Here is an 11345-nt window from a genome sequence, read left to right as displayed (position 1 = left end):
TGAGCCGTGTTCATGCCACTCCAGCCTGTGAAACAGAGCAAGATCCTGTCTCAGAAAAAAAAAATTACTGGCACATAATATTTACTATCTATGTATTGATTAAATTACTACTATAATCGGATTTTTTAAATCTGATAATACTTGAGCTGGAAGGGACCACTTAGACTTCTAGTGTTTCTACCAAGGTCACCTGGTGGGATTTTGGAAATGTGTGGAGGTGTTTTTGGCTTTCACAAGAATTGCGGGACAGTTCTGGTATTTGGAGGGCAGCTGGGTGCTAAGTGACCTGTAATGGTTAGGACAGTTCCATCTAACGTCCCACATACTTTTATTGTCTGCACAAACATTTACGTAGATCAAAAAGCTGTTAAAATTACTTCAGCCTAGACTCTAACTTTGATTTACGCTGTACAAAAGCAAATTATTTTTGTACAGTTTTAATATATCTGAATATTTCAGGAACGCAACTACTGTGTATATGAAGGTGAAATGACACTGTGTTTTATCCAGAATGCTCACTATCGTGGAAAAATCACATAGGCAATAGCACCAGGGCCCATGGTATCTGAATTCCCAGTACAATCTGCCTGTATCATCTGCATCTGTAGCCACTACATTCATGATCATTTTGTCTGTCAGCAATTTTTGCATCATAAGCCATTCCAAAGCAAAACAACAATCATTCTCTCCCATGCATCGGTGGGTTTGCTGGGGGTTGGCTGGTTTTGGCTGGGCTCAGCTGGGCAGTCCTGCCTCAAGTGTGGTTAGCTGGGCTTGGCCCCTTGCTTGTGATGGGTCCAGGTCTGTTCTAAGTGTCTCATTGTGGGACCCAGGCAGATGGGGCCGCAGATTCCTGGGAGAGGCTCTTCTCATGACAGTGGCAGAGGCACAAGAAAGCGAGCCTCCCTGCACCACACATTTCAAGCTTGCTTTCAGTCTTGTCTGCTGTTAGCCCAAGCGGCCAAAGCAGGCCCCATCGCCAAGCCCGAAGTCAACAGGTGGAAAAGTAAAAGCACACGCCTGCCATGGAGGCGGAGGGAAGAGAGTAAATATGTTTGAGCAAAAATCTAACCTACCTCGGTGATTTGACCTGATTATCTTAATTTAGCCCTGATCTCAAAATGTCATATACAGGCCGGGTGCAGTGGCTCATGCCTGTAACCCCAGCACTTTGGGAGGCCGAGGCGGGAGGATCATGACGTCAGGAGATCGAGACCATCCTGGCTAACACGGTGAAACCCCTTCTCTACTAAAAATATATATATAAAAAAAAATTAGCCGGGCATTGTGGCGGGCACCTGTAGTCCCAGCTACTCGGGAGTCTGAGGCAGGAGAATGGCGTGAACCCAGGAGGCGGAGCTTGCAGTGAGCCGAGATCGCACCACTGCACTCCAGCCTGGGCGACAGAGCGAGACTCCTTCTCAAAAAAAAAAAAAAAAAAAGTCATATACAAAGAGAAAAAAAAAACCATTTTGCCTTACATATCTCCAGTACTAATGCACTCTGATAAGAAAGTCCATGCCTCTGATGATTTCATTATAACTTAACCACGTGGTCATGACTATTTACATACAAAATACATATAGTCACGTGTCACCTAATAACAGGACTACATGCGGAGAAATGCATTACTAGGCGATTTCATCACTGTGTGAACATCGTAGAATGGACTTACACAAACCTCAGTGGTATAGCCTACTACACACCTAGGCTACAGGCGATAGCCTCTTGCTCCTAGACTACAAACCTGTGCAGCGTGTTACTGTACTGAATATTAAAGGCAACTGGAACCCAGTGGGAAGTATTTGTGTATCTAGGCATATCTAAACATAGAAAAGGCAAAGTAAAAAGTGCCGTAAAAAAGATAAAAAATGCTACACCAGTCTAGGCACTTACCACAAATGGAGCTTGCAGGACTGGAAGTTGCTCTGGGCGAGTGAGTGAGTGAGTGACTGGTGAGTGAATGTGAAGGCCAAGGACGTTACTGTACACTACTGCAGACTTTGTAAATGCTGTACACTTAGGCTATACCAAATTTTACTTTTTAAAAAGTAATTGCATCCCAGCACTTTGGGAGGCTGAGGCGGGAGGACTGCTTTGAGCCCAGGTGTTCAAGGCCAGCCTGGGCAATATGGCGAGACTTCATCTCCACTAAGATTTTTTTTAAAAATTAGCTGGGCATGCCGGCAGGCACTTGTAGTCCCACTGTGGGGGCGGTGGGGTGGGATTGGGGGGTAATGGGGAGGAGGGGTGGGATGAGGTGGGAAGATTGCTTTAGCTCAGGAGGTCAAGGTTGCAGTGAGCTGTGATTGCACCACTGCACCTCAGCCTAAGTGATAGAGCGAGATCTTGTCTCAAAAAAAATGGAAAATAGAAATTGCACCGCAACAGCGCAATGGCTACAATGTCACTAGAGATTTTTCAGCTCTGTAATCTTATGGGGCCACCATCGTATATATGGTCAGTCACTGAGTAAAACATCATTATGCAGTTCATGACTATATTTTATTATAAATAACTGTCCTTTTATTTTTAATATATGTATTTTATTGGAAATTAGGTGTTTAGATAAATTGTATAATTTATTAATTTCATTTCAAGAAAGTCAAGAGGTTTGCCAAGTATTTTTATGAAAAGGGGGCTGTGAAACCATACGTGTGAGACTCGCAGAGGTAATCCAACAGAGTTCAGCATAGCAAGGGGCAGGAGAGCTGAGCCAGAGGGCCTCCCTTGGAGTCCTGCCCTCCCGTTTACAAAGTATGTCACTTCAGGCAAGGTGTTTCATATCCCTGAGGCTTTCTCAAGTGTGCTATGTGGTAATAATATAAAACTCTTCCTGGCTGCAATAAGAATTAAATAAGATCACATGTGTGACATTCAGGACGCTGGCAGGACACAGATGACACATTCAAGTGGGTTAATGGAGGGGCATTTCATAGAGGGACAATTTGCCAGGTTGTGGGCCAAGTTAAAATAAACCACTCAAGAGAACATGCATTATCTTAAGGCTAGGCTATTACAGCAGAGAGCCATTTCTACCCCTAGGTCTACAAGGTCAAAGTGACATGGAAGTTTCTGGAACTTTCATAGAACCCAAAAAGAATAAGTATATGGAAAACGCAGGTCTACAACAGCTGTGGCCTTCGGTAGAGGGCTTCAGCCAACCACGACAAGCCCACCGGGCAGAAGCTGGCGAGATAAATGCTTCAATCTCACTCTCCTCCTTCAGCTTACACATCTTTCTTCTGTGTGTCTCCTATTGGCAAAGAGCAACCAGAAGTGAGAGGTGTCCATAAAAGTGCCATCCATGAAAGTCAGCCTCCCAGAGCACAAGGCAGGAGGGAAGGGTGGAGAGTAGATCTGGAGGAGAAAACAGGAGATGTCCAGTGTAGCATGGACAACAGTTAGCACCCAGTAAAGTGAGATATACCAAGATACGGCCAGGAGTGGTGGCTCACACCTGTAATCCCAGCACTTTGGGAGGCCGAGACGGGTGGATCACAAGGTCAGGAGATTGAGACCATCCTGGCTAACACGGTGAAACCCCGTCTCTACTAAAAAATAGAAAACATTAGCCGGGCGTGGTGGTGGGCGCCTGTAGTCCCAGCTACTCGGGAGTCTGAGGCAGGAGAATGGCGTGAACCCAGGAGGAAGAGCTTGCAGTGAGCCGAGATCATGCCACTGCACTCCAGCCTGGGTGACAGAGCGAGACTCCGTCTCAAAAAAAAAAAAAAAAAAAAAAGATATACCAAGATACGTGTGGTAGCACTGTGAAATAAATAAGCAAGCACACACACAGACATGTACACAGATGATACATATGCATGCACAGGAAATTTAAATAACCTGCCCCAAATTATAAGGAGAACAGCCACTAGAATTGAGTTAATCTCTTCATTCAAAGTCAAAGATTTTTCCACTTCATTCCTGTAAGGATTACATTAAACTTCTGCATAACCATGACAACTTGTCCCGAGCCTCAGACTTTTGAAACTTAAAGGTAATAACATTTGTCCTCAAGACATATTAAGGGGATACTGTCCCACTGAAGGAGCAGGACTTTAGCCAGAAATTCAGGGAATGAAGCATTTCCAACTCCTCACAGACAACATGGATAGCAAGTGTAGCTAGATGATAAATTGCTTAGAAGTCATACTAGTGCAGTTACTTCCCTGGTTTAAACAAGTACTTGGGTTTAAATGCAGTTCCTGGTTACCTTTAAGTACTGCAATTTAAAACAAACACTTGAAGGCTACAGTAGCTTTCTAGATTGTTCCCAAAGCCACACTGAGATCAAAGGCAGTGTTGTTCTCCCAGACTGGCGTTCAGGCAGAAGCACCTGGTTAAACCAGTTCCATCGGCTATGGGATCGGCCCAGCCCAAGATGTTTATACAACTTTCTGACTCTTGGGGGAAGGCAAGTCTACTTGATTTTTCTGCTGCTTCTGTGAGTCTCAGAAGTTTCCGAAGCTTTACCTGTCAGGTAGGAATTGTGTAACCAGAGCTTCTGGGGCAGGCAGCGTTCTGGGAGTCAAAGGAAAAATAAACACATCTCTTCGCTTATAGAGATTAGCGGCTTCTTTTTGATATCACATGCTTTCAATTTCCAGATCTTAAAAAACCCACAAGACAACATGCAAGAGCACCAGCTACTGACTGCCAGGTTAGCATTTCACCCGCTAGACCCAGGCGCCAGGATTCTGAACAAATACATTTGGAAATGCCACTTGGTCTATCCTGGAGTCAGCTTTGGATAAGTCTCTAACTAGGGACCTCAGGTGCCTTTTCCTGTCAAGCCCAGAGTAACCCCTTATATGCCATGGAACAGAAAACTTTAATAGCTTTATGATTCCAAATTTGTCACCGTGCTCCAAGAAAGATGTCATAAAATCTAGAAATTTGCATGCACACATATTCACTTTATGCAATAATCCAAACCCATAAACATGGGTGCATGCCTTATTTCGTCATCTAAAACCAAAGATCCAAAAGTGCCGTGAACACACAGACTCTGCTCAGTGGAGATGAAGACCGCTCATGCCACATTTTTCACAAAACAACCCTCATTTAATCCTTGGTACAAACGTCACGAGCTATTTGCTCATGTCTTTTATACGTGGAGAAAGAGCAGATTTGGGAGATTGCAAGATCTGCTCAAAGACATGAAACTAACAAAGGGCAGAACCAAGATTTAAACTCAGGTCCCTATCCCAAAACCCAAACTCAAAACAGAATGGTACATACTTTCTATCCACTTACTGAAGATAGACAACATTTAGAACATAAAGTAAGTAAGTTTACAGTATTTTTAAGTGACAAAAGTTAAATCGATTGTCATTGCTTAGTGGTAGAATAAAAACTTTAAAGCTTAAGGATTTATTTTCTTGAAGAACTCTTTATATGGCTTCTGAAGTAGGTTAAAAATTAGTAAACAAAATGATGCTGATTAATAATGCAGTTTGCTTAGATAAATGCATTTTTATTATATATTTTTAATGTTCAAGCAATAGGCTCACAATATTTAGGAATCTTCTTATGAGGAACACTGGGTAAAAGCAAAATAGCTCACATTAGTGAATGAGAACTCACAGATTAGAAGTCAAATACCACCTCGTTGCGTGTTATGTATTTTGTTCCCTGGAGATTTTTTCCTTAATTAGTATCAATCATGACAATATTCTTTTGATATTGTGAAAAGATTAGTACGTTTGCTTGATGAAAATCAAAAGAGCATGGTACTGGCATAAAAACAGATGCACAGACCAATGAAACCGGATAGAGAGCCCAGAGAGAAAGCCACACATTTGTGGTCAATGGATTTTTGGCAAAGATGCCAGGAACACACTGTAGGAAAAGGACAGTCTCTTCGATAAATGGCACTGGGAAAACTGGATATCCAATGAAGAAGAATGAAAGTAGACTCTCATCTCACACTATATGCCAAAAAAAACAACTCCAAATGGAGAAAGACTTAAAATACAAGTTCTGAAACTATAAAACTACAGAAGGAAAACATAAGGGAAAAGTTCCATGACACTAGTCAAGGCAATAAGTTTTTGGGTGTGACCCCAAACACACAGGCGACAAAAGCAAAAATAGATAAAAAGGATTCCATCAAACTAAAAAGCTTTTCAGAGCAAAGGAAACAATCAACAGAGCGAAGAGACAACCTGCAGAATGGGAGAATATATTTACAAGCAATTCATCTGATAAGGTATGAATAGCCAAAATATATCAGGAACTCAAATAACTCAATAACAAGTAAACAATCTGATTTTAAAATGGCAAAGGATCTGAATCGACATTTCTGAAAAGAAGACATACGTGGCCAATAGGTGTATGAAAAAATGCTCAACATGACTAATCAACAGAGAAATGCAAATTAGAACCACAAGTGATGGAAAGATGTGGGGAAAAGGGAACCCACGTACACCGTTGGTGAGAATGTAAATTAGTACAGCCACTATGGAAAACAGTATAGGAATTCCTCCAAAACTTAAAAATAGAACTACCATATGATCTAGCAATCCCACTGCTGGGCATATATCTAAAGGAAATGAAATCAGTATGTCAAAGAGATATCTGCACTCCCATGTTAATTGCAGCACTATTCATAATAGCCAAGGTATGGAATCAGCCCGTGTGTCCATCAGTGGAAGATGAATAAAGAAAATGTGGCATAATACACAGTGGAATGCCATTCAGTCTCAAGAAAGAAGAAAATCCTGTCATTTGTGATGTGAGTGAACCTGGAGAACATCATGTTAACTGAAATATGTCAGGCACAAAAAGACAAATACAGCATAATACCACTATATGTGGAATGTAAAAAAATAATTGATCTCATAAAAATGAAGAGAAAAACAGTAGTTAGCAGTGGCTGCGGGTGGGAGGATTGGGGAGATGTTGGTCAAAGGACACAAAATTTCAGTTAGATGGAATAAGTTCAAAAGATCTACTGCACATCTTGTAACTGCAGTTTATATACTATCTTGTTTGGTTTTTGTTTGTTTGTTTCTTTTATTCTGTTTTGAAACAGGGTCTTGCTCTGTCACCCAGGCTGGAGTACGGTGGTGTGATCCTAGCCCACTGCAGCCCCGACCTCCTTGACTCAAGTGATCCTCCCACCTCAGCCTCCTGAGTAGCTGGGACTGTAGGCATGTGCCACTGCGCGCAGCTAACTTTTGTATTTTAAAAAATGTTTTGGAGACGAGGTTTCACCATGTTCCCCAGGCTGGTCTCAAACTCCTGGGCTCAAGCTATCTGCCCATCTGGACTCTTAAAGTGCTAGAATTACAGGTACAAGCCACTACACCCAGCAATACTGTATTGTATCCTTGAAAATTGCTCAGCCAGGCACAGTGGCTCACACCTATGATCCCAGCACTTTGGGAGGCTGGGGTGGGAGGATTACTTGAAGCCAGCAGTTCAAGACCAGTCTGAACAACATAGCAATATCCCATCTTTATTTCTAAAAAGTTAAAAATTAGCTGGGCATGGTGACGTGCACCTGTAGTCGCAGGTACCCAGGAGGCTGAAGTAAAAGTATCCCTTGATCCCAGAAGGTCAAGTTTGTAGTGAACCAGGATCTCACCACTGCACTCCAGCCTGGGCTACAGAGTGAGACCCTGTCTTTGAAAAAAAAAAAAAGAAAAGATGAAAAAGAATATTGCTAAGGGAGTAGATATTAAGTGTTCTCACCAGATACACACACACACACACACACACACACACACACACAAAAGTGAGCTAATGCATATGGTAAAAGCTTAGTGGCTGGGCGCGGTGGCTTATGCCTGTAATCCCAGCACTTTGGGAGGCCAAGGCGGGTGGATCACCTGAGGTCAGGACCAGCCTGACCAATATGCCAAAACCCCATCTCTACTAAAAACACAAAAATTAGCCGGGTGTGGTGGTGCGCACCTGTAATCCCAGCTACTCAGGAGGCTGAAGCAGGAGAATTGTTTGAACCCAGGAGGCAGAGGTTGCAGTGAGCCAAGATCACGCCACTGTACTCTAGCCTGGGCTACAGAGCAAGACTCCATCTCAATAAATAAATAAATAAATAAATAAAACATTTAGCCATTTCACAACATGTACATATACCAAAACATCATATTGTACACCATAAGTATATACAATTTTAACTTGTCAATTAAAAAGAGAAAATCAAAACACCATCATCATTTAAAAAGAGCTGAATAAAAACTCATTGGTGAAGCTGGGACAAGAATTAAGTTTTCAAAGAAGTGCAGGAAAGATCTAACAGTACTACACGGACAAGAATATTTTATGATTGTGAACAGAGTTCCTGCTGCCACAGCTCTCTGGATCCTTTGGGACTTCTTCTCTACCATGATGAATTATTCAATCAAAATTAAAGATCTCTTATCTAACTCCTGATGTAAAGGCGATATTAAGTTTATAGCACCATCAATGAAATACTTTGCCAGAAATATTTAACCTGTACCTATTTAAGCTTTTAGATATCACTTCCAGTTTATAGACTATAGATTACAGGATCAAGTTGAACATCAAGAGGAGATACTTATACAAATCCAGAACCAAGAATATTCCAAATGTTAATGTCAGAGGAAAGCAAAGGAACTGTTCTAGATTAAAAGATAAAACAAGGCCGGGCCCGGTGGCTCATGCCTGTAATCTCAGCACTTTGGAAGGCTGAGGTGGGTGGATCATTTGAGTTCAGGAGTTCGAGACCAGCCTGGCCAACATGGTGAAACCCTATCTCTACTAAAAACACAAAAAAAATTAGCCGGACCTGGTGGCACGTGCCTGTAATCCCAGCTATTCGGCAGGCTGAGGCATGAGAATCGCTTGAACCCAGGAGGCTTGAACCTGGGAGATAGAGGTTGCAGTGAGCTGAGATCACGCCACTGCTCTCCAGCTTCAGCGACAGAGCGAGACTCCATCTCAAAAATAAGAAAAAAAGAAAAAGATAAAATAAAATGCAATGTATAAAACTTCATTGGATCCCAACACACACACACACACACACACAAAAATCTAGCTGTAAAATATATATTTGGTGAATAATTGAAGAAATTTTAATATGGTCTATATAGTGGAGTGGGAATTTTTTGTTAATTTTCTTTTTTTTTTTCTGCTTTTTTTTTTAGACGGAGTCTTGCTCTGTCGCCAGGCTGGAGTGCAGTGGCAGGATCTCTGCTCACTGCAACCTCCGCCTCCCAGGTTCAAGCGATTCTCCTGCCTCAACCTCCAGGGTAGCTGGGACTATAGGCCAGTGCCACCATGCCCAGCTAATTTTTGTATTTTTAGTAGAGACGAGGTTTCACCATGTTGGCCAGGATGGTCTCAATCTCTTGACCTCGTGATCCACCTGCCTCAGCCTTCTGAAGTGCTGGGATTACAGGCGTGAGCCACTGCGTCCAGCGTGTTAATTTTCTTAGTAGAGATGATGTTGTAGTAAGTGGAGAATGACATTCTCTTTCTCTTCCAACATGGCCTTTCCATGAGACTAATTTGGACTTCCTCATAGCACAGTGGGCTCTAGGTAACTAGACTTCACACATGGCTGCTGACTTCCCAGGGTGACAATGGAGGCTCCGTGGTTTCTTAAAGGGTAAGGTTAAAGCAAGCTGCAAGGCCAGCCCAAGTAGAAGGGGAGTGGAGGTAGATCCCACTTCATGATGAATGGAACAACTCATGCTTACAAAAAGGGAAGGAATTGATAGTGGCCATCTTTGGAGACTATCCACTCCCCAGCCCCAAGGACCTGATTAAACATATCAAGAGGTGGAATGAAAGCTTTGCCCTCCACAATACATGAGAAATCCAGACACTGAAAATATGTTTCTATTATAAATAAGAAAAATGTAGAGAGTTCACATTAAAAACAGTCAACAAGCATTTGGTGTATAGAACATTTAAGTTCTTTTCCTTGTATGCAAGGAATTTATCATCTAAGAAGCAAAGGTAGAAATATGCAGGTATAAAACATGTAAGAGCAAGGATTAGGATATTATTCCCTAGAAAATATCTGACTTTAGAGCTATTACCATTTTCAGCTTCCTCTCCCTCACTTTGAACAGTATTTGAAGAGTGAATCCCAGAAATGAAGCTGTATTTTATTGATTTTTGCTCTCCTACCAATGTTTTGAGAATCCGGCACACAATGAGCACCCAATGTTTGTTGAATTCAATGAGTGAATTGTATCTATCATACAAACTGTTATCCATTCAGGACTGAGAATTTTAGGAAATACACAAGGGCTGCAGCAAATTAATATATCTGTCATAATTGAGAAATGAGCTGTTCTGGTTCACAACTCTGTAGAATAGAACCATGAGCCTGGTCATAAGAAAGAACTTGATCTCAGTAGTCAAAATAGGTACTGCAGATCCAGGTTGAAAAGTTCCTACACTTAAGTAAAAGCTTCTCACACTCACTTTAGGAAGGGTTTATAGGTGGGTTGAAGACTCAATAGTTTCAAGATCCTTATCCTATCTCAATCTTCCACTGGGGATATGACTAAGAAGGGGTACTGGCTAATGCATACATAGGTGCTTACAACCTTTATATAATACTTTGGGTGGTGTTATGGCTGAATCATGTCCTCCCCAAATTCATATTTTGAAGCCCTAATCCCCAGTGTGACAGTAATTGGAGATAGGGCCTTTAAAATTAAAGGAGGTCATAAGGGTGGAGCCCTAATTCAATATGACTGGGGTCCTTATAAGAAGAGAAAGAGACAGCAGGGATGTGCATGCAGAGAAAAGACCCCCTGAGGATACGTACAGACGGCAGCTGTCTCCAAGTCCAATTCTACCAACACCTTGATCTTGGACTTCCAGCCTCCAGAACCATGAGAAAATAAATTTCTGTTGTTTAAGCCATGCAGGCTGTGGTATTTTGTTATGGCAGTCCTCACAACCTAATAAAGGTGGCAAACAAAACATTCAGGTAAATGTACTCTCTCATATTATACAAGCTTTTTTAAACAGTAAAATAATTGAAACTTGGAAAATAACAGAATATAAAAACATTTACCTACCACTCAGATTTTAACAAATGTGGACATCTTGTCATATTTGCTTCAGATATTTTTTTAACTTTAAGAAATAAATTTGTTTTTGTTTTTTTTTGAGATGGAGTCTCGCTCTGTTGCCCAGGCTGGAGTGCAGTGGTGCAATCTTGGCTCATTGCCATCTCCACCTCCCAGTTCAAGTGATTCTCCTGTCTTAGCATCCCGAGTATCTGGGATTACAGGCATATGCCACCACACCTGGCCAATTTTTGTATTTTAAGTAGAAACAGGTTTTCACCATGTTGACCAAGCTGGACATTTGTGGGTTTTTTGTTTTGT

General features: G+C 41.8%; 1 long non-coding RNA gene across 1 annotated transcript; it reads right to left on the bottom strand.

The window, feature by feature from the left end:
- Positions 1-2486: 2486 nt before the first annotated feature.
- On the bottom strand, positions 2487-11132 carry LOC124900685 (uncharacterized). The gene is made up of 2 exons (XR_007058088.1): positions 10778-11132; positions 2487-3256 (listed from the first exon to the last, which is right to left on the bottom strand). It is a non-coding gene; the product is annotated as an uncharacterized LOC124900685 (long non-coding RNA).
- Positions 11133-11345: the final 213 nt, after the last annotated feature.

This window comes from Homo sapiens, chromosome 4, assembly GCF_000001405.40.
Source record: "Homo sapiens chromosome 4, GRCh38.p14 Primary Assembly".
NCBI lineage: Eukaryota > Metazoa > Chordata > Mammalia > Primates > Hominidae > Homo > Homo sapiens.
Note: the sequence above shows the minus strand (reverse complement) of the source record. Positions and strands in the feature narration are given on the sequence as shown.